Source organism: Homo sapiens, chromosome X (genome assembly GCF_000001405.40).
Source record: "Homo sapiens chromosome X, GRCh38.p14 Primary Assembly".
Taxonomy (NCBI): domain Eukaryota; kingdom Metazoa; phylum Chordata; class Mammalia; order Primates; family Hominidae; genus Homo; species Homo sapiens.
In genome coordinates this window covers 19952946-19979266 of record NC_000023.11, presented here as the reverse complement: position 1 = coordinate 19979266, position 26321 = coordinate 19952946, and the positions used below count along the sequence as shown (strand labels likewise).

Genomic DNA, 26321 nt, shown 5'->3' with positions numbered 1-26321 from the left:
GGGAGGGGGTGGAGTCTTGCTCTGTCACCCAGGCTGGAGTGCAGTGGCACAATCGTGGCTCACTGGAACCTCCACCTTCTGGGGGTTCAAGTGATTCTCCTGCCTCAGCCTTCCAAGTAGCTGGGATTATAGGTGTATGCCACCACACCTGGCTAATTTTTGTATTTTTAGTAGAGACGGGGTTTCACCATGTTGGCCAGGCTGGTCTCGAACTCCTGGCCTCAACTGATTCACCTGCATTGGCCTTCCAAAGGGCTGAGATTACAGGCATGAGCTACCACGCCCAGCCTAGGGCAATTTCTTAAAATAAGGCAACAATAAGGTTTGTTGCATCGATCAACTCTTCCTTTACAAAAGATTTCTCTGGCTGGATGCTGTGGCTCACCCCTGTAATCCCAGCACTTTGGGAGGCTAAGGCAGGAGTATCTCTTGAGGATAGGAGATCAAGACCAGCCTGGGCAACAAAGTGAAACCCCATCTCTGAAAAAATATAAGACAAAAAAAAAATAAATAAGAGATTTCTCTGTAGCATAGATGCTGTTTGATAGCATTTTACTCACAGTAGCACTTCCATCAAAATTAAAGTAAACCTGTCAAACCCTGCTACTGCTTTATCAACTAAACATATGTAATATTCTAAATCCTTTTTTATAATTTCAACGATGTTCATAGCATCTTCACCAGGAGGAGATTCCAATCAAGAAACCACTTTCTTTGCTCATCTGTAAGAAGCAACTCTGCATACATCCAAGTTTGATCATGAGATTGCAGCAATTTAGTCACATCTTCAGGCTTTACTTCCTCTTCTAGCTCTCTTGGTGTTTCTACCACATCTGCATTGACTTCCTCCACTGAAGTCTTGAACCCCTCAAAATCATCCGTGAGAGTTGGAATCAACTTCTTCCAAACCCCTGTTAATACTGATATTTTGACCTCCTCCCATGAGTCATGAATGTTCTTAATGGCATCTAGAATGGTGAATCCTTTCCAGAAGGTTTTCAATTGACTTTCCCCAGATCCATCAGAGGAATCACTATCAATGGCAGCTATAGTCTTACAAAACGTATTTCTTAAATAACAAGACTTGAAAGTCAAAATTACTCCTTGATCTATGGGCTACAGAATGAATGCTGTGTTAGCAGGCACAAAAACAGCATTAATCTCCTTGTATATCTCCATCAGAGCTCTTGGGTGACCAGGTGCATTGTCAATGAGCATTAATATTTTGAAAGGAATCTTTTTTTTTTTTGAGCAGTAGGTCTCAACATTGGGCTTAAAATATTCAGTAAACCATGCTGTAAACAGATGTGCTGTCACTCAGGCTTTGTTGTCCCATTTATGGAGCACAGGCAGAGTAGATTTAGTATAATTCTTAAGGGCCCCAGGAATTTTAGGATGGTCAGTGAACATTGGCTTCAACTGAAAGTCATAGCTGCATTAGCCCCTAACAAGAGAGTCAGGCTGTCCTTTAAAGCATTGAGGCCAGGCATTTACCTCTCTAATTGTGAAAGTCCCATCTTCCAAGAGAAGGCTGTTTCATCTACACTGAAAACGTGTTGTTTAATGTAACCACCTTCATCAGCGATCTTCTGGATAACTTGCTGCAGCTTCTCCGTCAGCACTTGCTGCCTCACTTTGCCCTTTTATGTTATGGCGATGGCTTCTTTCCTTAAACGTCACAAGCCAACCTCTGCTAACTTCCAACTTTGCTTCTGCAGCTTCCTTACCTCTCTCAGGCTTCACAGAATTGAATGGAGTTAGAGTCTTGCTCTGGATTGGGCTTTGGCTTAAGGGAACGTTGTGGCTGGTTTGAGCTTCTATCCGGACCACTCAAACTTTCTCCATATCAGCAATAAGACTGTTTCACTTTCTTATTCATGTGTTCATTGAAGTAACACATTTAATTTCCTTCAAGAACTTTCCCTTTGCATCCACAACTTGGCTGTTTGACCCAAGAAGCCTAGTTTTTGGCCTTTCTCAGCTTTCGATGAGCCTTCCTCACTAAGCTTAATCATTTCTAGCTTTTGATTTAACGTGAGATGTGTGACTCTTCCTTTCACTTGAACATTTAGAGGCCATTTTAGGATTATTAGTTGACCTCATTTCAATATTATTGTGTCTCAGGGAGTAGGGAGGCCTGAAGAAAGGGAGAGAGAAGGAAGAATGCCCCATCAGAACACATACTACATTTATTGATTATGTTCGCATCTTATAAGGGCATGGTTCATGGTGCCCCCAATTACAATAGTAGCATCAAAGATCACAGATCACCATAACAGATATAATAATAGGGAAGAAGTTTGAAATACTTTGATAATTCCCAAAATGTGATATGACACAGAGACAAGAAGTAAACACATGAGGTTGGAAAAATGGCACTGATAGACTCGTTCAATGCAGGTTTGCCACAAACCCTGCATAGTAAAAAATTCTGCATTTGTAAAAAATGCAGTATCTGTGAAGCGCAGTAAGGCAGAGCACAATAAAATGAGATGTGCCTCTACAGACTTACTGTTTCCTTTTGCTTCATGGTTTTTTGGGGAGAAAATTTTCGCAGGTAGGAAATTCTGTTTTCTGGCTGGGCATGGTGGCTCTTGCCTGTAATCTCAGCACTTTGGGAGACTGAGGCAGGTGGATCACCTGAGGTCAGGAGTTCGAGACCAGCCTGGCCAACGTGGTGAAACCTCGTCTCTACTAAAAATACAAAAATTAGCCAGGAGTGGTGGCGCATGCCTGTAATCCCAGCTACTTGGGAGGCTGAGGCAGGAGAATCGCTGGAACCCGAGAGGCGGAGGCTGCAGGGAGCCGAGATTGCACCACTGCACTCCAGCCTGGGTGACAGAGCGAGACTCCATCTCAAAAAAAAAAGAAATTCTGTTTTCCCACTCTCTTGTCAACACATGGGTGCCATCAGACTTTAAAATTTTTGCAAATCTCATGAGTGTGAAATAATATCTCATTATTTTCATGTTATTTCCTGGATTCTTAGCAGGGTGGAGTATCTTTTCATGTGTTTATTGGACATTTGTATTTCCTCTTTGTTGAAAACTGGAAGGGTGGAGCTGCCATTTACTGAGATGGGACAGACTGTAAGAGGAGAAAATGTTGGAGGGAGATGAGGAGTTTGCTCATGGACATGTTTACAGAATCCAGTGGGCTGTTGGATATGCAAGGCTAGAGTGCATGGGATGGGTGTGAGCTGGAGTTATAAATTTGAGGTTGTTAGTTTATAGAGGATATTTAAAGGCATGAGACTGAATGAGAGTATGGACACAAGTCCAAAGACCAAAGTCACTATTTAGAGGAAGACTGGGTTCACTCTTAAGGGTCAGGGTGATGACAGGGAAGATGAGGAGAAATGGCAAAAGAGACAGAAGGAATTGTTATAGAGGTAGGAGGAAAACCAAGAAAGTGTAGTATTCTGGAATCCAAGTGAAGAAAATGTTTCCAGGAGGAAGGTGTGTGAAATGCTCCTGGCAGCCATGTGTGGTGGTTCACGCCTGTAATCCCAATGCTTTGAAAGGCCGAGGCAGGAGGATCGCTTGAGCCTAAGAGTTTGAGACCAGCCTGGCAACATATTGAGTCCCATCTGTACAAAAAATTTTAAAAATTAGCTGGGCATGGGCCGGGCGCAGTGGCTCACGCCTGTAATCCTAGCCCTTTGGGAGGCTGAGGCGGGCAGATCATTTGAGGCCAGAAGTTCAGGACCAGCCTGGCCAACGTGGTGAAACCCTGTCTCTACTGAAAGTACAAAGATTAGTCGGGTGTGGTGGCGCACACCTGTAGTCCCAGCTACTTGGGAGGCTGAGGCATGAGAATCACTTGAACCCGGGAGGTGGAGGTTGCAGTGAGCCGAGATCGCAGCACTGCACTCCACCCTGGGTGACAGAGTGAGACTCCATCTCAAAAAAAGAAAAAAAAAGGAAGGGAAAAAAAAAAGAAAAAAGAACCATATAGTAAATATTTTAGGCTTTGTGGGCCACGTACAGTCTCTGTCACATATTCTTCTTCTTTTTTTTTTTTTAACAACACTTTAAAATGTAAAAAGCATTCTCAGCTCAGGCTGTATGTTTAAACCTCCTCTCTTATCTATCAAGCAGCTGAACTAGTACTTCTCGTTATCAGCTGATGCCCACTAAGCAATTGCAAACAAAGTTAACTTTAAAAAATAGCTTTATAGTTTACTGGTTTAAAGTGTGCATTTCAGTGGTTTTTAGTATGCTTGCAGAGTTATGCAACCATCTCCATAATATCTGATCTAATTTTAGAATATTTTCATCACCCCAAAGCTAATGTTTTTACAGCTTTGAGGTATAATTTATATGCAATAAAATTCACCATCTTTGAATGAATAGTTTGAAATTTATTTATTTATTTATTTTTTTGAGATGCAGTCTCACTCTGTCACCTAGGCTGGAGTCCAGTGGTGCGATCTCGGCTCACTGTAACCTCCGCCCCCCGGGTTCAAGCGATTCTCCTGCCTCAACCTCCCGAGTAGCTGGGACTACAGCCACGCGCCACCATGCCTGGCTAATTTTTTTGTATTTTTAGTAGAGATGGGGTTTCACCATTTTAGCCAGGATGGTCTCGATCTCCTGACCTCGTGATCCACCCACCTCAGCCTCCCAAAGTGCTGGGATTACAGGGGTGAATGAGCTGCCGTGCCTGGCCCATTTGAATTTTAATAAAACTAATTTTAATATTGGGTGAAGGAAAGTGTTCTTAATAATACTTCTTTTATCACATGCAATAAATGTCGCTTGTAAATATTTTCTCCCAAGTGATGTCCACTTTTCCTTTAAAACTAGTGGTTCTGTAGCCCCTGGACCAGCAGCATCCACATCACCTGGGAACCTGCTAGAGTGGGGCCCACCCCAGGGGTAGGGCCCAGCAATCTGTATTTTAACCAGCCCTCCAGGCGATTCTAATGCACACTAAAGTTTGAGAACTACTCCAGTGTATATTCCTGCATGGAATTGCTGGGCTGTGGGATATGGGCATGTTCGACTTTATTGGGTATTTCCAAACTACAGGTGACACTTGAACAACATGGGTTTGAACTGTGTGGGTCCACTTATATGTGAAGTTTTTCCCAATGAAACGGGTATAGAAAATACGGCATTTGAGATATGTGAAAGCTGCCTATACAGAGGGACTTGGATATGCACGGATTTTGGCGTATGTGGGGATTCTGGAACCAATCCCCTGAGTGTACCAAGGGGCAATGGTATTTTCAAACTGGTTATACTGTACCATGTACAGTTCACCTAGCAGTAACTGAGAGTTCCCATTTTCACACATCTTTGCCAACACTTTGGAATATGCAACTTAAACATTTTTGGCCTATCTGATGGGTGATCATAGCCCTTTGGCATATCAAATGGCTATGATCTTAATTTGTATTTTCCCAATTGCTAATTAAGTTGAACATCTCATACGTTCATAGGTCATTTGAGTTTTGTGTTCTGTGATAATGGAGTCTTTTGCCTATTGAAATAAATACAGTTATGTAAATAAATACGATGTGTTGAAATAATTGCAAAATAAACCCAGAATTCCCAAGGAGAAAGAAGCCCAGAGGGAAAAAACAGAAAGTCCAGGAAAGAGTCCTAGGGGATGTGATAGTTACACAATCGGGAAAGAATAGGGATTTGTCAAGCTGACCGAGGGAAGGCCATCCATGTGCTGGACGAGCATGGCCTGATCAGGGAAAGCAAGTAGTGTGGTGTAGGGGACTAGTAGGGTGTGTGGGGGAAAAGACACACATAAGGCTGGGAGAAAGGTAGGAAGCAACTAGATGTATCTATCTTACATTTGTTTAATCTTTTTTGTTGAGCATTTGGGTTATTAGTTTTCTTGAGCTTTTTTTCTTTCCTATTATAAATAAAACTGATACAAACATCTTAGTGTACACAGCTGATTTTTTTCTTTTGAATTATTTTTTAAAACAAGTTTAAACTGAAATTACTAGATTAAAGGAAAGGAGGTATGATTAGTTTCATAGTTTCTTGTAAGAAACATGTATGTTTCAAGATTACTCTCCATTAGTCATTAGGGAAATGCAAATCAAAAACACAATGAGATACCACTTCATACCCACTAGGATGGCTATAGTCAAAAATATAGTAAGTGTTGGTGAGGATGTAGAAAAATTAGAACCCTCATACACTGCTGGTGGGAATGTAAAATGGTGCAGCTACTTTGGAAAAGTTTGGCAGATCCTCAAAAAGTTAAACATAGAGTTACCAAGTGACCCAGTAATTCCACTTCTAGGTATATACCCAAGGAAATGAAAACATATGTCCACATAAAAACTTGTACACAAATGTTCGTAAGAGCGTTATTTATAATAGCTGAAAGGTAGAAACAACCCAAATGTGCATGGAGAGGTGAATGAATGAACAAAATGTAATGTACCCATACAATGAAATGTCTATTATTCTACCATAAAAAGGGATGACGTACTGATACATACTACAACACAGGTGAACCTTGAAAACATGCTAAGTGAAAGAAGCCAGTCACAAAAAAACTACATACTGTTTGATTCCATTTGTATGAGATGTCTCAAATAGGCAGATCCATAGAAACGGGCTAAGCAGGGGAGGGGAGAAGTGGGGATTCACTGCTAATGGGGTCTCTTTTGGGAGGATGAAAATGTTCTACAACTAGACAGTGATAATGGTTGTATATCACTGTGAATATACTAAAAAACATTGAATTGTATACTTTAAATGGGTAAATTATATGGCATGTGAATTCAATATCAATAAATATGTTTTGTTTTTAAAAATGGAAAAAAGATTATGCTCCAGAAAAATTTTCCTTTCTCATTATCATCAGCAATATTTTTGTTCCCACCCGCCCCCAAAAAAATTACCACCTTTGGGTTTATTATTTTCATTAAATTTAATAGGTATGAACTGATACCCAGAGTTTATCTAGTGAAATTATAAGCTTCCCTATTGAATGTAATCTCTATCAGAGCAGGAAGTTTTGTCTGTTTTTGTTCACTGCTGTAGCCCTAGAACAGTGTCTGGCAAATAATTGGTACACAGCAAAATTTGTTAAATGAATACATTTTGATACTTTTAGTTACTAAGTAAACATTTTTTCCTTTAGTGTTTTAATTTCATAATACTTTGTGAGCTAATTGTTCTTAGCCTCAAAATCTTTTTAGAAAGAGGCTGTGTATAACTAAATGAATTGAATTGATTGTACTTCCTTTAATGAGTGATCTAGTTCAAGTTCTTTGACTTGATATGCTTTTACTTTCTTTTGAAATTCAGGATAACAGTAGTTTGCAAATGTTTGAGTATGAGGACCGCCTTTTAAACTGATGTCTACATAATAATTGTACTTTTTGTATCTGTGGGTGGAAAAACTGCATAGTGACAAGAAGCCTTTATATTTTAGTTTCACCATAGTGTCTTCAGAAATTTGCAAAATCGAGGTGCATAATATATGAGACATACACTTATTTATTCTGTGGTCTGTGCACGGTAGCTATATGATAATTCATGAGCCCATGGCAGTCGTTCTAGAAGCCACCAGGGGTTTGGGACCACTAAGTTAGGAACTACTTAATATTCGTATCAGAACTGAGGAGGACTACTGAGTTGTAAATAATAGCTAGTATAGGAGATTATACCTACTTATGTGTTTTTAAAATTCAGTTTCCGAAGCTATCAGTTTCTTTTAAAGACTGAAGAATATTTGAAAAATCAAGTTTAGAAGTGCCTTTTAAAATTTACTTATTTGACATTATTTGTTTTAGCAAAAAACCAGAAGCAAACTAAATGTCTAATAATGTTCAATTATATTTTGGGCATATTTGTCTGGTGGAAAGTTAGGCAGCAGTTGAGTATTAGAAATTGTAATTCTGACCGGATGTGGTAGCTCACGCCTGTAATCCCAGCACTTTGGGAGGCCAAGGTCGGAGGATTGCTTGAACTCAGGAGATCCAGACCAACCTGGGCAACATGGCAAAACCCCGTGTCTACCAAAAATACAAAAATTAGCCAGGTGCGGATGTGCACGCTTGTGGTCCCAGCTACCTGGGAGGTCGAGCATCGCTGGAGCCTGGGAAGTTGAGGCTGCAGTGAACTGTGATCGCACCACTGCACTCCAGCCTGGGAGAAAGAGCAAAACCCTGTCTCAAAAGAAAAGAAATTTTAAAAGAAGAAATTATAATTCTTAGAATCTAACAATTTAAAAAGCAGAGTATACCATCACGTATTCCTAAACATTTAAACTGTGATTATATGAAGTGTTTCTGTACATGGTGAAAGACAGGAAAGTAGTAGTGCTTGTATTCAGATAGAGGAATTCTGGGTAATTTTTCCTCTTTTTGGAATACTTATTTAGCAGTTGCTGTTGCCAGACACCAATAAGCTCTTTTTATGATTTAATTTAGGGGTCATTAAACTACAATGCATTTGACTTGCCGGGCCTATTTTTGTATGACCCACTTGAGCTAAATAGTTTTTGTACTTTTATTTTTTTAATTTGACCAACATAGTGCCTTTAACCTAGTATATTCAAAATATTTCAACATGTAGTTAATATTAGAAATACATCAATAAAATATTTTACATTTTTTATATGAACTCTTTGAAATCTGATGTGGATTTTACACTTACGACACATCTCAATGTTGTCACATTTTTACATTTTTAAAGAGTTGCTTTAAAAAAAAGAAGAAACAGATGTGACAGAGACCTTACATGGCCTGCAAAGCCTAAAATAGTTACCACTTGGCACTTTGCAGACAGTTTACTGACCCCTGATTTAATTCATTTTATCCTGACAACATTCCAATAAGAAGGGGTGCTATTATTATCATTTCCATGTTAGAGATGAGGAAGCTGAGGCACAAAGGGTTTAAGTCAATTGGCAGCATTCGCTATGTTTTAGATCAAATTGTAGGGTCTTTCTACAAACCTGCTAATCCTGTGTTTCTTTGCAGTGTAAAAAGTGGATAGTGGCTCACGTGTCAAAGGATGGCACGGTCACGATCTAGATCCCCCAGGTGGAAACACAGGTGAGCAGTTCTTAGCAGAGTAAGCTTGGATTTGGGATGTGCTGTGACTTTCAATTTCACCAGTACTAGTAAACACTTAAGCTCATGGGACCTGGTTATTCACAGTAGGTACTTTATCATAGTGGAGGTTGTATTTCTACATTCTAGTAGCTGACAGCTTTGTTTAATCATAGCAGGTGGCTAGAGTTAAATAATGAAAAGCAGTGCAGTGGCCACAGCAAGAGAGAGTGAGAAATATCTTTGAGAGTATTACATTTTTTGAATTAGTGAGCAGTTTAGAACTCCTCAGTATGGATTTCATTTTATTTTTTCATAATTAATATGTTTAAAGAAATTTCGAGTTAGAAAATAGGGAGTTTCCTCTTTCTTCTTCATGGCAGAATAATAGAGTTTTGAATAGTTCGATTATAGTCCATTTCTCCTTCCTTCTTGGTAGTATCAAAATTATGTATCATTAGATTGGAACAATTTAACCAGTCTTTATTGTACACCTGCTACAGGCAGGTTCTTGGGCTACAAAGGCAAATATGCCATCTTCTTTGGCCTCAGCAAGCACGTGGTTGGGCTGGGAGATTGACACCATGGCCAACTATGATACAGTGGGGAAAATGCTGTGCTACTTATTGGGACAAAGGATTCTGGATTTCTAGGGAGGAAATAATTCTGTTTTTGTGGAGGAAAAAGAGGGTACTAAGAAAGTCTTCAAAGAAGAGATGAAAACAATTTTATCTGGGCGTTTCAGGATGTGTAGAACTTCTAAAGGCAGAAAGAGTGAAGAGAAATATTCTAGTTAAGGGGGAGAGCAGGAGCAAAGGCACCGAGCTGTAAATGTGACTAGTATTTTCTAGGACTTAAAAAGGACCATCATTTCACACAAAAAAGGCAGACCAAGATTTTTCATGTTAAGATAACTTGCCCATTTTGCTTGTGCATTTCAGTTATGCAGTAACTAATCAATCATTTTGTCAACAGTTTTCATTTTGTAATTCACAGGAGCCACTTGCAATGGCAAGGAACTTGAGAAAGAAAAGGGAATGTATAGAAGTGAATGATTTTAACAGGGTATCACAGAGGTCATTTATTTTTATTTTTTTTATTTTTATTTTGTTTTGAGATGGAATCTCGCTCTGTCGCCCAGGCTGGAGTGCAATGGCGTGATCTCAGCTCACTGCAAGCTCCGTCTCCCGGGTTCACGCCATTCTCCTGCCTCAGCCTCCTGAGTAGCTGGGACTACAGGTGCCCGCCACCACGCCCGGCTAATTTTTTGTATTTTTAGTAGAGACAGGGTTTCACTCTGTTAGCCAGGATGGTCTCCATCTCCTGTCCTCGTGATCCGCCCGCCTCGGCCTCCCAAAGTGCTGGGATTACAGGCGTGAGCCACTGCGCCCGGCCCACAGAGGTCATTTCTTGATAAGACAAAAGGCGCTGATGAGGGGCACAAGAGACCCTGCCAAGCTTAGTGCCTGAGTTCCAGGTTCCTTCTCAGGTTTCTTTGTTAAGAACTATAAAGGATCTGATATTTTACCTTACTTGCAAACTAACACATTATTAGCCTGCCACAGGGCACTCTTGGGTCAGAGACAAAGGCCTTTATTACTCAGAATACAGCAAGCAGCTTGAGCTTCATGTTCCTGTCATTCCCCCCACCCTCTGGGTCCCGTGAGGGCTGGGACTGCAGAGCCACTGACTGGATGGATGCCGTGAGGCAGCGAGCTTTCCATACAGGCAGTGGGGTTATAGTACAACTGAGGAACATGAGTCCCTTATCAGGGGCTGCAGATAAACCCATCATGCAGCCTTTGCCTTGGAGGAGACATTTATTTTATTATCCTGGACAGCAAACACATCAGCCCTTTTCCCTGAGTGAGACCCTATCTCTATCTTGCAACACTGCCTTAGAACAAAGGTTGTCAGTGCCTCTGCTCACAGGGCGCTCGCAAGGCGTGCAGAACTCAAGAGACTGTGGAGAATTATCTCCCAACAGACTCCTTGAGTCTTTTTTGTTCCTTTAGGAAAACCAAAAACAATAGCAACTGTTCCAGCAAACTTCTTCGGAAGAAAGGGACACTGTGCTATGAAACATATAAAATAGCATATCAAACCGATATTGAATGTGAAGTAAGGATTAAAAGTAAGTTATTGGGAATTCCATCCAGACTGCAAGACCTTTGACTCTGGCTGCCAGCTTTTCTCCTTGGCTGTGAAAGAGATGAAATCTTCCAGGAAGTCCTCAGAGGCTCCACTTGCTTCCTCCTGTGATGAGGTGTAGCCAGCTGGATGGCAGAGTTTCTGCTTTAGCTAAATAACACTTGCCAGTATGTCTAGCTTGGTGACTCCAGAGGGCAATATTGCCAAGTTCAGTATATAACTCCTAGTAGGTACATGAGGAAGGTAGATCTGCCTCCTTTCTTGTAGGGAGGGCACAGACTTATCATCGAAAGGAAAGGGTTTCACTCATGGTTGCGCCAACTCCATGGCAGCTTCTAAGAGAGAGCCATAACAGAAGCTGCAAGGATCGCTTCCTCATTGATTAGAAGACATTAAACCCTCAGGGAGGAGATGGAGAAATTGGGCAGCTCAGATGGTGGAAAGGTCCCCAGGTGCAAAATGGAACTTTATTGTGTCCCAGATAGTGGCACACCTCTCTTTACGTCTAGGCAACCCAGACTGGTTTCCCTGGATACAGAAGCCTTCCGCCTTAGTGGAAACACAAGCCTCAATGTTGGCAATGCTGAGGTATGGAGAAGGTAGTTCCATAAAGGATGTGCTGTCCCTGGAGAGCATTGTAGCTGCTTTAAAGTATAACTTCACCGAAGTTACAAGCTCTGTTCGAACAGCACATCTTTCCATAGATATGCAAAGGAACAGATCTGGGAAAGAAAAGCAACTTACCTATGTTAGAGGTATTTCTGGAGGAACTAAGCATGAGATTCAAGTCTTAAGAGCCTCTTGTTCCCCCTTTTCCCCCGGTTAAGTACATATGTTTTGTTCCTTGATACAGCCTTAGTAGAGAAAGTAGACAATCAGCTGGAGAAACTCTGGGCCTGGCTTGGGTCTGAGTTTGAATTGTAGCATCATTAAATCTTAGACTCTAATTTATTGTCAGAGGTAATGTTCAGTTTGCTGGAGACCCTCCTACACATTGATTTGTGTGAGTCTTGCCTTCCTGCTTGTTTCTTACCTGGCCTTTGAACTGGATGTAAGCTTTTGTTGACTGGCCCTTTGAAGTCACTGCATCTTCTTTTGCCAGAACTTTGCTGTCAGCAGTCTTCCAAAATGGATCCTGCTGTGCACCTAAGCTGGCCCTCCTCCAATGGGACAGGTGTGCTCAGCTCATTTGGATAAGCACGTGGAATACCTTAGTTCAGATGGAAAGAGTATGCTTGTTGGTTGGGCAGTACCATAATCAGACCCCCAGATGTACAATTTAGAATGCAGATGTAGCAAATTGATGAATTTAGTTTGAGTGGAAGAAGCCGAGGGATCCTAGGAAAAGCAACTGTTTTTGGTAGGTCATATTGAGACACGCTTAGTTGATTAAATGGTTTACACTTTTCTGTGTTTGTTTACATAGGTCTTTATCACCAGTACCTAGAAATGCTGAACACTACAAGCAAAGACATTCACACGGGCATTATGGCTGTGAATATAGGAAGGATCCAAAAAGACCCGTCGCGTGGAGAATGGACAGTGAGAAACATGGACAGAGTAAACCAAGGATTCCCTCTCGTGGAAATATATATTACCAGTCTTATGAACATAGATCACCTTCCCCTAACATAAGAAACTCTTTAGAAAATGTTTATATGTATAAGCCTCACAGAGGATATTCGCCTGGAAGAGGGGACAGTAACAGGAGAGCTCAGTATATGCCCAAATACTCAGAGGGTATACCCTACAAAGAGCATGAAAGGAATTCTTATCCCCAGAAAGTGCAAGGAGGGCATAGTCCTGATGACCACAGAGTTAGAGGAAGTGGAAAAGGAGGGAAACCACCTCAGAGGTCAATAGCAGATTCTTTTAGATTTGAAGGAAAGTGGCATGAAGATGAGTTGAGGCACCAGAGGATACAAGAAGAAAAATACTCCCAGTCAACTAGAAGAGGCTCTGAAGACTTTGAGACAAGGAGCTCATTTCAGAAGAGGTATAGGAAAACATTAAACCTGGGTAATTTGGTATAAAGCCTCAAGTGAAAAGATCTGTTTACTTTATGGTTGAAGATAACCACCTTGAAAAGCTTTTGTCTAAAAAGACAAAAAGCATTGTAATTTAATTATGGGGTACTGGTAGTAGTGAAGTATTTCTTTTTAGAGTAAATCATGTTGATGGCTAGAATACTTTTAAAAGATGGTATTTTCCTCTTTAACTGCCTTGTGCCTATAGAATTGGCTTAAAGGGTTATAGATTAACTTGCCACTGCATTCTGCATTTAAAGCCATGCTGCCCGACATTCTACACATATAAATTCTCCCTTTCTTCTCTCTATTGCAAGTGTAAACTGCTTTATGTCAACACAGGTATCCTGAGGATCGTGATTTCAGAAAATATGGACACACATCAAAAAGACCTAAAGACGTGGAGAGGTATGAAAGCAGAGAGCCTGCCAGGAACCCAAAGTGGAAGCCTGAGCATTCCCTCCCACCTTACCAAGAGGACACAGACCAGTGGAACCTTGGGCCCCAAACTTATCGACATGCTGAGAGGGAACACCCAGAGACCAGTTCAGCAACCAAAGTATCCTATGACTATCGTCACAAACGTCCTAAGCTCTTGGATGGGGACCAGGACTTTTCTGATGGGAGAACTCAGAAGTACTGTAAGGAAGAAGATAGAAAATATAGTTTTCAAAAAGGCCCTCTAAATAGAGAGTTAGATTGTTTTAATACTGGAAGAGGGAGAGAGACTCAAGATGGACAAGTCAAAGAACCTTTTAAACCGTCTAAGAAAGACAGCATTGCCTGTACTTATTCAAATAAAAATGATGTTGATTTGCGATCTAGTAATGACAAATGGAAGGAAAAAATAAAGAAAGAAGGGGATTGTAGAAAAGAGAGCAATTCTTCCAGTAACCAACTTGATAAAAGTCAAAAACTTCCTGATGTGAAACCCTCGCCTATCAATCTTAGGAAGAAATCACTTACAGTTAAAGTAGATGTGAAGAAAACAGTAGATACATTCAGGTATTATCTTTGTTTTTTCTTTATGATATTTAATAATGTTTCTACAATCTTTATTTGCAGCTTCAAAAATGGAATTAATAGTGTGTTTAGAGTCCATCAAGTGGGAGGGATTGCCAAGAATTTTCCCCCCCAAAAAAAAAGCCCTGTAGTGAGGCTGTTTCCTGTGATTAGTTACATGGGAGCAATTTCATGTCTCCTTGTTTCCACATCCTATCTCCAGATGCTTCTTGGATGCGGGGCATTCTGTGGAGTTGTTCCTCTTCATGAATTCACGTGTTTTTATGCTGCCAGGTTTTCCTTATCCAAGGATTAGCTGGGTAGAGTTCAAGAAAACCTAGTCCTTGCTCAGTTTCTCAGAGCCTGTGCTCTCTGTTGCCTGAAATTCAGAGAATTTTTGAGCTGAAAGGGACCTTAGCAGGCCCTAGTTTTATACGGGAGGAAAGCGCGACCCTGAGAGATGAAGTGACTTGTCTAAGTCAGAGTGGCTCGGGCTCAAATCCACGTGTTCCCTTATGACTCAACGAGGCAGGTGACTTAATGTGGTTTTTGCTGCCGTCTCATAATGACTGGGGCTCAACCAACTAGATTCTCCCAGGTAGAGGAGATTATACCATAATCTGGGAAGATACCTATTTATAAGACATTTACTTTAGCCCTTAATGATTCTTTAAAAAAATAGACTGTTGTTGTTGTAGGTTATATTCTCTTAAAAGCAGACTCACGTGCTTTGTTCCTTAACGAATATTACTTCCATTTATGGATTCTGAGAATAATAAAGCACTGCAGTTGGCCTAAAACTAAACAGCTAAAACTGTTCATGACCTTAATACACTACCAGTATGTGAATGAAAAAGGGGGGGGCCATGTTGATTTGGTATGTTTATATTCATGCTTGACTCATTTGTATTTGAACCAAAAATGAGAGAAAACAAAATCCAAATGGTAGAATGGGGAGGGAGGTAAACCCACAAGTCCTTTTTTGTAAAACAAAATATTTTTTGTTCCTTTTTCTTTTCTTTTGAGACAAGGTCTTGCTCTGCTGCCCAGGCTGGAGTGCAGTGGCATGATCACAGCTCACTGTAACCTCAAACTCTTGGGCTCAGATGATCCTCCTGCCTCTCCTGTGTTGGCCTCCTGAGTATCTAGGACTATAGGTGCATGCCACCATGCCCAGCTAATTTTTTTCTTTTTTTGTAGAGACAGAATCTTGCTCTGTTGCCCAGGCTGGTCTCAAACTCCTGGCCTCAAATGATCCTCTCGCCTCGGCCTCCCAGAGCAGTGGCATTATCAGCCTGAGCCACTGTACCTGGCCCTGTTCCTTTTCTTAAATTTAGACATGGCAACACCCCACCTCATAGTTCTTTTACATTCATTGCACTTGTAGAAAATATTTTTAAATATACATATGTGCATTTATATATGTGCTCAGAAAGCATTTATGATTATATTACAGAAAGTTCAAGAAATAAAGGGGGGGAATCACCCATAGTTCTACTACTCTACAACAATTTTATTTGCATTTTAGTCTAGTTATTTTTCTATGTATATTTACACATGACTGCTGTGGTATCATATTAATAATTTTGCATCTTTTTACATATGTCTTAAATAATTTTGTGCTATTATATCTCCTACTAGTTCTTCATCTTAAAAGCATAAAAGCTTCTGTAAGTACCAAGTTTAAGAATGTTACCTTAAGGGCTGGGCACAGTAGCTCATGCCTGTAATCCCAGCACTTTGGGAGGCTGAGGTGGAAGGATCGCTTGAGCTCAGGAGTTTGAGGCTGCAGTGAGCCATCATCATGCCACTGCACCCCAGCCTGGGCAATAGAGTGAGACTCTGTCTCAAAAAAAAAAAAAAAAGGGAGCTTGGATTATTGGATTACATTCTGATGGCTATAAGATATACATATATAACATATAACATACATACTTTTCTTTCTTTCTTTTTTTTCTTTTTGAGACAGGGTCACGCTCTGTCACCCAGGCTGGAGTGCAGTGGCGCGATTATGGCTCACTGCAGCCTTGAACTCCTGGGCTCAAGTGATTCTCCTGCATCAGCCTCCTGAGTAGCTGGGACTACAGGCCTGCACCACCACACCCAGCTAATAAAAATTATTTTGTAGAGATAGAAATCTTGCTATGTTGCCCAGGCTGGTCTCAAACTCATGACCTCATGTGATCCTCCCTCCTTGGCCTCCCAGAGCACTAGGATTACAGGCATGAGCCACCATACCCAGCCTTAAGCTTTTTTTCTATCCAACATTCTACTTTGAAAATGTTCAAACATACAGAAAAGCTGAAAGAATTCTACAGTGAACGCCTATATACTCACCACCTAAAGTCTACAATTAACAGTTTACTTTCATAATTACACATCTATTCATCTATTGTTCCACCTTATTTTTTGGATATTTTTCAGAGTAAGTTGCAGATGTCAGTACACTCCCATTTAGATACCTTATACATTTTTGTTTACAGTTCCTCTTTTTTCTTTTGAGGTAAAATTATATACAATCAAATGCATAAAAATCTTTAACTTTTTAATAAAAGTAATGATGTGGCCAGGTGCAATGGCTCATGCCTGTAATCCCAGCATTTGTGGGAGGCCGGGGCAGGCTAATTGCTTGAGCTCAACAGTTCGAGACCAGCCTAGGCAACATGATGAAACCCCATCTCTACAAAAAATACAAAAATTAGCTGGGTGTGTTGACATGTGCCTATAGTCCCAGCTACTTGGGAGGCTGGGGTGGGAGGATTGCTTGAGCCTGGGAGATCGAGACTGCAGTGAGCCATGTTTGTGCCACTGCACTCCAGCCTGGGTGACAAAGCGAGACCCTGTCTCAAAAATAAAAACTAAAAAAATAAAAGTAATGATACCCCCATATTTAATAATGAAGTGTGTTATAGTTAAAAGAGAATTAAAAAATTGTAACACTTTTAAAGAATGCTAGAAATACCAGTTTTGAAGAGTTTTATTTTAATAGACCTCATTAGAGATACTGAACAGTTAATTTTATAATTTGATATGAGAAATGGAAGCTTGATCTTTATCATGTGTCACAAAAATGGGCTTAAAATGGAGACTGCTGCATCTTTTGAATTTATAAACTATGATTTTGTGAAATCTCATAATCTGTCAATGGGATCTGGTGGCATACCAGGGCCATTTGAATACCTGCCCAGGGCCTGCAGGATGGCTTGTGTAATAGCCTCCACTGCAAATCCTCTCTGTTCAAAGACCTGAAAAATAAATAACTGAGCAAATATATGCATCTTTGCAGTATGATAAAGCGTCATAGTCAACAAAATCTTTATTTCCTGGTGAATGGGTTGTGGATGAATTTTGTGGTTTGGATTTAATTATATGTGGACTGATCCATAAAACAAAGATAATGCCCTCAGTAGAATTATGTTTTCAACTATTAAAATAAATTAGATTTTTTTTTCTAGAAAAGAGTAAAATAATCATAGAGTGCAGAGAGAAGTTTATTTATTGGTTAACATCTAGAGAGTTTATCTGCTTTTTTTTGGAAATGCTAAGATGGCTAATTTTGTGCATTTATTTACTTAGCTTTGGTTGAGAATTGATATTTGTTCTTCCAATTGTCAGTATGGTTGAAAACATAAGGTTATCACTGTGATTTTTTTAGATTCTAGTTTGTATCTAGAACAGCAGTAGGTAAACACTTGCTTGAATGTTCACTGCATAGTTAATGCTTCTGTTAAGAAAGACTGTATTCTAATGATCCACTCTGTCAGAAACTTCATTATCAGAAATTACATCTGAGTCATAATTATATGTTTCAGAATGTAAGTTAGGGAATCACAGTATGAAAATTTCTACTAAGGTTGTTACATATGCAAAACATGAACTGTTGTATATATGCATCTGGATGTTTTGGGGCAGACAAATGCAGGTGTTAGTTTAATGTTGGGCTTGAGTGAGTGAGGGCTTGACCCTTGGCTAGGCCAGGAAGGAAGAGGAGGAGGGAGGAGGTGGTACTAATATCTGGAGCAGAATAAGCTGCTGCTGATGGATCAGAGACTCCTTTGATCTCCTGGGAAGCTGATACGAGACACCTGGGACATGGGGAAGGTTGTCCATCAGCATTCATGGCTATCAGAGTTGATGGTGGACTGAGTACATTGGCCACATTTGTGTCTAATCCTTTATTTCCCACTGAAGAGACATAGAGGGGTGTCTCTACCCCTATCAGCTCTTTTCCTAGTTTGAAAGGGGATGAGGTGGGGGATGGGCCCCAGAGGACATTGGGACCCTGACACTCTGAGGAAATGGGTATCACGCAGGCAGGGAACAATGTGAAAAGCCATAACTGAGATTGAAGGAAGGGAACCTAGTCACATAAGTGTACCTATGATGGACACTGTTCCGCTGGAGGCAAAATAAGATGCAGGTGGGGATATTTTTTATACCCAAACCTGCCACCTTGCTGTTATATAGCATAGAAAACTAAAGTTCTCCCCTACTTTAATTTCTCATATGCATTTTAAAATCAAAAATTAATTGAGAGAAGGTTCCCTTTCATTCCTATTTTTGACCCTAGCTTCTCTTGGTGTCTCTTAGGGGGCCTTGTGTAGGGATTCTGTTGGCAGTTAGAGTGCATATGTTTTTGTCTTCCTATGGACCACTGATCAGCTTTGTGACATTGGGCAGGTCACTTGGCTGTAACCTTTTGGGACCAAATTAACCTGCAGTTCCTCCTGGCTCTTTGAGTCTGCTTGGATTGGCCATGTGTTGGTGACCATTGAAGCTGAGTTGACAGACACATGGAGGCTCATAATGTTCATCTCTGAACTTTAGTATATATTAGAAATTTTATACTAAAATATTAAATTCAAATTGGTCTAAGTTAAGCAAAAAATAAAAATAAAAGCCAAGAAAGTTAAAAAAAATTAAATTGGCCTCAATTAAAATGTTGAAGTCTGGCTGGGCATGGTGGCCCACGCCTGTAATCCCAGCACTTTGGGAGGCTGAGGCAGGCAGATCCCTTGAGCTCAGGAGTTTGAGACTAGCCTGGGAAACATAGTGAAACTCCATCTTTACAAAAAATACAAAAATTAGCCAGGTGTAGTGGTGCACACTTATAGTCCCAACTAATCAGGAGGCCGAAGTGGGAGGTTGGCTTCAGGAGGCAGAGGTTGCAGTGAGCCGAGATCACGCCACTGCCCTCCAGCCTGGGTGACAGAGCCAGACCCTGTCTCAAAAAGAAAATAAAAATAAAATGTTGAAGTCTTTTCTCTCTCTCGGCAGAGTCTTGCTCTGTCACCCAAGCTGGATGCAGTGGTGTGATCACGGCTCACTGCAGCCTTGACGTCCTGGGCTCTAGCGATCCTCCCACCTTAGCCTCTCGAGTAGCTGGGACTATAGGCACACGCCACCATGCCTGGCTATTTTTTTTTTTTTATTTTTAGTCGAGATGAGGTCTTGCTGTGTTACCCAGGCTGGTCTTGAACTCCTGAGCTCAAGCAATCCTCCTGCCTCTGCCTCCGAAAGTGTTCAGCCTCTTGAGTAGCTGGGATTACAGGCGTGAGCCACCGCACTTGACCTTATCATCTCTCTAGCTGAAACACTCATTTCAAATTGACCAAGTCATTTTTGATTCATTATTTATTCATTCAGTGGGTATTTTTTGAGGGCCTACCCTGTGTGAGACAGTCTGTTAGGGTGCCCTGGGACTGTAGAGCTGCATACGATTAGGTTCCTCCTCCTTTGGTTTATTGGAGTGCATGTGTGACTCAGCAGAAGATGGGTGGTACCAAGCTGGGAGATTGAAGAGAGGCATCATGTAGTTGACATGTGAGCTAGGCTTCAAAGGCTGGTGTATGCAGACACATGGAGGCAAAAGAAATTTTATATTTACAGGTTAACAATGGCAGAAAAACATACACATGAACTTTGACCTGTGTGGTTTTGAGCAGTCAGTGAAAAGGAATAGAGGGAAAGGAGACTGAAAGGTAAGAATGCTGCGACTGCCAGCCTGATTTGACATTATCAGCTGATAGGAGAGGGCTGGCAGCCCAGTTCTGGCCGCCAGAGGATTGCTGTCTATGAAGTAGACTGAATGCATGTTGGGGCTGGTGAGGCCCACTAGAGGACTTTTGTGCAAAAAGTGAGGAATTAGGGGAGGAGCAATCTCCCTGAACTTTTTCCATCAACTCCACAGTTTCTAAATTGGTTCTTGGGAAGACAGGAGCAAATTATATACAGTCATGCATTGTGCAATGATGGGGATACGTTCTGAGAAATGTCTTGTTAGGCAGTTTTGCCACTGTCTGAAGATCATAGAGTGTATTTACACAAACCTAGATGATGTAACCTACTACACACCTAGGCTATATGGTAGAGCCTATTGCTTCTAGGCTACAAACCTGCACAGCATGTTACTGTACTGAATACTGTAGGCAATTGTAACACATCAGTAACTATTCGTGTATCTAAACATATCTAAACATAGAAAAGGTACACTAGAAATACAGTACCACCATCGTTTAAGTGGTCATTAATGGAAACGCCGTTATGCTGCATGTGACTGTAATTGGGAAAGTGCTTTATATGAACTGTAGGATGCTGTATGAAATGTTAGTTATTAGTTGGAAGAAGACAGAAAGGAAAACTTTATATGTGTCGTACGGATTTTGATAGAAGCTTCCAGAGGGCAGGGGAATCTGTTGGTTTTGGTTGTTGTTGGGTTTTTTGTTGCCGTTTTGCCATGCAGTTCATTTCTTTGATGAGTCCTAAGTGTGTGCAACAGGAAATTAAGGTTTAATGTAGCTTTTTACATTTTCTTGGTTATTACCCACAACGCTCAGGGAGAACATCAGTGGAAATATCCTTAAACAGAAAAATAAACGGGGAAAGTGCAGTCGAGGGAACAAAGGATCTTGGAAGATTTAATGAAACTGATACCAGAAATAGTATTAGAATAGAGGTTTTTGGCTGTATTTTAATTTTTTAAATTGTCTAAAATGCATCTCAAATGAGAACATTTGATCTTTTTAGCTTAACTACTTGCTTTGGGGGTATTTCCTGAAATTATTAACTTGTTAATCAATCCATGCCACAGGAAATAGTAAAAAGTAAAATGTGAACCAAAAGATGATTACATTTACAAATATAAATATTTAGAACATTTTGCATTCTCAAGTCTAAAGAGGGTTTTTCTTGTACCAAAAGTATCATAATTGTTTTTAAAAGACTAAAATTTGGAGGTTATACTATGTTAAATGTATATTTTCTAGAAAATGATAATTTAAATTTTTTATTAAAGATCTTGTAGTAGAGGAACTCTAGGATAAATTTTAATGGATAACAAGTTTAAACACTAAGATTTTAGGAATTAAATATATAATAGCTTCAAAGTATGTAACTCCTATGGATTGAGGATTGAGCATGGAGTGGGGACAAGAGTTTCAGCAGTAATTTGTAAGAAATTATAAGTAAATGTTAATAATTACTCATTGGAAAACTGAACATCTTTATCAGCTTATTTCCTCTTGGGATAAACTGAGGCTGCCAGAAAAAAACCTTATCAACTGATTTCCTCTTGTGGATGGACCATTTGTATAGTTCTATTTAAATATACTATTTTCCTACTATAAAATGTTTTTAAAGGCTATTTTTTCTTTTGCTATGGCACAGGAATTTTGTAACTTTAGACCCCCTTAAACAGAGAGCATTTGTAATTCTTTGTTAGTGGAGGTCGTTACGGGGTGTTCTAACATTTGCCAGCAAATGTCTCTTAGCTAGTTATCACATACACAGTGGGAAGCTTGGAGCAAATTAGGAGGAAAGAAGGGAAATGGGCCTTCTTTCTAATGAAAGTCCTTCTAATGAATCAACGAAACCACAGCAGTGCGGTCAACCTGCTGCATGATTACTTTTCTGTGTTTCTGCCTTGGCAGGGAGTTGACCCTGGCAACGCTGGTCTGAGAGCAGGGAGCACGGAAAGTTAGATGGAAGCCTTTCCTCTGATAAGTTATAAATAGACACTCAAAACCATTTTATTAGAGGAGCTAAAATTTTTAAAGAATATCTGTAAGCCCCTCATAACCCTGCAGCAGTTTGGATATATGGCTGTTACATGACTTAAATAAATAAGTACATATGTGCATGCGTGCACTCATACCCCCAGACACATCTGTCTGTTTGCTTTCTGCTTTATGATGAGCTATTTATTCCAGTGGTGTCCTGTTATTTAAAACATACTTCAGGGCTCTCTTTCAGATTTATCTTCTGAGCCTGTAATGTAGCCATTAAGAACCCCAGCAGTTGCAAATGTCAATTCTTTAGACAGTGAACTTGATTTTTGAGAAGAGCCAAAAGCAATTTAGAGTTAAGTACAGAGGAATGAGATAGGTACAAGCTGATTAGTGCCATTTTGGGTCCAAAATGAGATATAAATATAAAATAATGAGAAAATTTTTTCATTGATGCATGAGGTGCCTGCAGACAAAGCATTTCTGAGTAGTTTTAAGCAAGTGCAGCATTCTTGGAATAAGGTATAGTTTTCCATTACAACACTTGGAAGACATGTTCATTTGAATGCTCAATCTCTGGGATGTGAAACAAAGCAACCAAGACATCCATTGTCTCAGGGTGGTGGCACCTTTCCCCATAGGGTTATTGTAAAGATGAAATGAGATCATGTTGGTAAGCTCTAAGCCCCCCACATGAGGGCATGTGGTAAGCCCTGAATAATTGTTAGCTCTGTATCATAACCATTAGTTTGTAAAAGTACTTAGAGGTCAGGAGAGCTCTTAACAAAAGTTATAAGATTCAGAAGGCATTAAAGTGGTAAGATAGCCGGGGTTATATAATAAATGGTAGTATTTCTTTAAGGGTACATTGAGGGTGAACACTGTAACTGGTGTTAACAATCATAACTTTGCCTAACAACTAAGACTATTTCCTGAGAATTTAGTGAGACTTTGTAATTAAGTTAATCTCTTAACAGAATTTTATTTCAAAATACTATTCTAAGCTTCTTATTATTGATACAAAGATATAAGGATTTTTATTAAGTTAGAGAGGTTCTTATGTTTGATATCAGCTTTTAAAGTGTGGTAGTATTTCAAGATAAAATAATTTTGCTGGACTAACAATGTTTTGGCCATTTGGAAGTAGAAAATAATCTAATCGATTACTTTTTGCATAGTAAGTGTCTTTAATACCTTGTATTTTTCAAGTAAAAATTGTTTCACTTAGAATTTGAAGGATTTTATTATTAAAGTGGCAAATATTTAATGACCTCTGATTTGAAAGAACTCAGAGCCATGTATCTGTAGTTATTTTCTCCTACTTGTTATTGTACATGTTTTATGGCATGGAATTTAGTGCCTTAATTATAAGAAAAGATATACATCTTTCTAGTTTTGTAGCTATCTTAATTTTTGATAAATTCTTTTCTCCACAAAATAGTTTCAAATTTAGTTAAACATTTGCAAATTATTCTAGGGTTGCTTCTAGCTATTCCACAGAGAGACAGATGTCACATGATTTGGTTGCTGTTGGCAGGAAAAGTGAGAACTTTCATCCAGTGTTTGAACATCTTGACTCAACTCAGAATACTGAAAACAAACCTACAGGAGAATTTGCTCAGGAAATCATAACAATAATCCATCAAGTTAAAGGTTGGTATATTTTGCACATACGTTAGGGATAACACAAAAGTAATATACTATTCACGAGATACAGGTAAACACCTGCAGTATAGTTTAATAGTAATTAATATTTCATTGTAAGCTAGACTGTGAATTAGGAAATCTTTTGAAGAGAGTATCAGGCATTCATTCGAGCCTAGTTGTTCTTTATATCTAGTTCCAATAACCTTGTGCTTCAACTGTTAGTAGATTGGAACTTTCAAGTTAGAAAGGGAGAGGCTGGCTGCTGCGAAAGAAAAGGCATACTGAGAGCAGTAAGAAACAATAACTGGTAACCTAACAGGGAGGAAAAAGCAACAAAAAACAGATAGGAAACTCAAGAAATCAGGAAGCCTAGGTCATTTTATGATTCTTAAAGCCCCCTGAGGGCATTACTAGGACTTTGTATCTTAAGGATGATGCTGAGTGATCAGTGAAAGATTCTAGTTTGCTTTGGCATTCTTTATAACTGGGAGTTGCGTAATAAATACTTTTAATGGTTTGCATTAAATTGTTTTGTTTTTGCTTCTGGCGAGTTTCCATTAATTGGAAAATTCAGTGATATAGAACAACTTTCCCCAGTGATGCTACACAAATAAGGCAGTTGTAGGTATTACAAACTGGAGGCCTTCAAGAATTTAAAATTTTTTATTTTGTGCTTCCTACTAGACAATTGCATTAATCTTTCTTACCTTCATAAAATATGTTTTGAAAATGAGTTTTTTTCCTCTGTGTCCCTCAAACTAAGGCATGTATTTACTTTAAAGCACATAGTTTGTCTGAAACAGTTCATCCTCTCAGCTCCAGTCCCTGTCACCCAAAGGAAATGTGATTCTTGGCAGAAATGGAGCTGATTTGCAGAAAAATCCAGGAGATTGTCCCAGAACAGAAACAGTAAATTAGGGAAGAGGATTGCTTAAGTAGCATTCTGATGGACCAAGTGTATTCTCTTTCTCTGTATCCTATTAAAAGTGTGTAGCATAGCTGATTTCTAAATGTTTTCATGAACTTTAATGTGAATTAAAGTAAAGTGGCATTAGAAGGCCTTCTGTGATATGCAAACATAACATTTAGTATTTGTTTGAAATTGTTTTGATGTTTCAGGCTTGTTTTTGAAGTTACTTTTTATTTTCATTCAACTGTGAAGCTCTATGCCATCTTTACTTTCCAGATATAGTAAGTCTTACCTTGGAGAAGAAAGGTCCTTGCTTTGAGAGAGCCATTGTCTTTTCCCCTGGACAAGTAAGCAGGCGTGTCAGATAGAAAGAAAATTCTTCGATTAATAAATCAGGTGTTTTTACTCTTGTTTGGGCTTGGGAAGGCACGTGAGCGCTACAAATTAGTCTGTGAAATAAGTTTGGGTCCCACATATTTTTAAGAGAAAACAGGTTGAATTTTAAAAAATAATCCCTTCTTTCTGTGCTTATATGTAATCTTTTAAGTGAAATCAGCTTAACATTGAGATAAAACTCTTCATTTCCTTTTTCAGCAAATTATTTTCCATCACCTGGCATTACTTTACATGAGCGTTTCTCAACAATGCAAGATATACACAAGGCAGATGTAAATGAAATTCCATTGAATTCAGATCCAGAAATACACAGGTAATGATTGATTACCATATTATACCCATTTAACTAATGGGGATATACCTCAGAAAAGATTTGGGAAGGGGCTGCTTTCCGAACCTGCTCACTTGGGCTTGCTGTAGACTGTAGGATTGCATTTCCTGCACAAAAATAATAGGATAATCCAAGCATTATCTGGCCACTGCACTTTGATGGAATGAATAGGATGCGCTGAAAACATTGACTAGCGTTGTTTAAATGTGTAGGACTTTGAAGATGCTTACATACCTAACTTCACTTCTGCTGTCAATAGTAATTGCTTCCTGAGGTCCTCAGTAGAAGAATGAAAGACAGTTTTCAAGCCATCGAAATCATATGTTGCTTCGTGTGGTCACAAATAGGTGTTCTGAGGGCAGCCAGATGAAACCACGTGTCTTCTGCTGGCACTTGTTGGAGCAGGTGGTGTACCCTGTCTTGTGAGCTGATTTGAATACATGTGAGAATGCAGTATATCACCAGAGCAAAGTTTGAGATTACACAGACTACTGATTTGAGAACCACTAAAGCTTCCCTATAGTGTGTTCCACAGGATATGTATATCCTGGGAGACTGCCATATAGGTGAAAAACTATCTGGTAGCAAGTTTCTTTTGCTAGCTCCAAAACATACTAGCTTTATTTCAAATTCTGTTCTGTAATAGTAGAATCAGGGTATCAGTGTATAACATAATTATTTAGTTGTACTATGCCTTTATTATTTTAGGAGAATAGATATGTCTTTGGCCGAGCTTCAGAGTAAACAAGCTGTGATCTATGAATCGGAACAGGTTAGTGAATACAATTTTTGATGAGAAATTATCTTATTGTTT

General features: G+C 39.6%; 1 protein-coding gene across 32 annotated transcripts in view; it reads left to right on the top strand.

The window, feature by feature from the left end:
- Positions 1-26321, top strand: part of BCLAF3 (BCLAF1 and THRAP3 family member 3) — a 78202-nt gene that overhangs the window by 11795 nt on the left and 40086 nt on the right. For 17 of the 32 annotated variants that reach the window (NM_198279.4, NM_001367774.2, XM_011545476.3 and 14 more), the window contains 6 exons: positions 8969-9043; positions 12618-13187; positions 13561-14223; positions 23701-23876; positions 25375-25489; positions 26216-26279. In NM_198279.4, coding sequence (NP_938020.2) covers positions 9003-9043; positions 12618-13187; positions 13561-14223; positions 23701-23876; positions 25375-25489; positions 26216-26279 — 1629 coding nt within the window. In that variant the 5' untranslated portion in view covers positions 8969-9002. Of the gene's footprint in view, positions 1-8968; positions 9044-12617; positions 13188-13560; positions 14224-20109; positions 20188-23700; positions 23877-25056; positions 25128-25374; positions 25490-26215; positions 26280-26321 lie in introns of those variants that run through there. The other 15 variants (XM_047441965.1, XM_047441966.1, XM_047441972.1 and 12 more) reach the window with 4 other exon arrangements.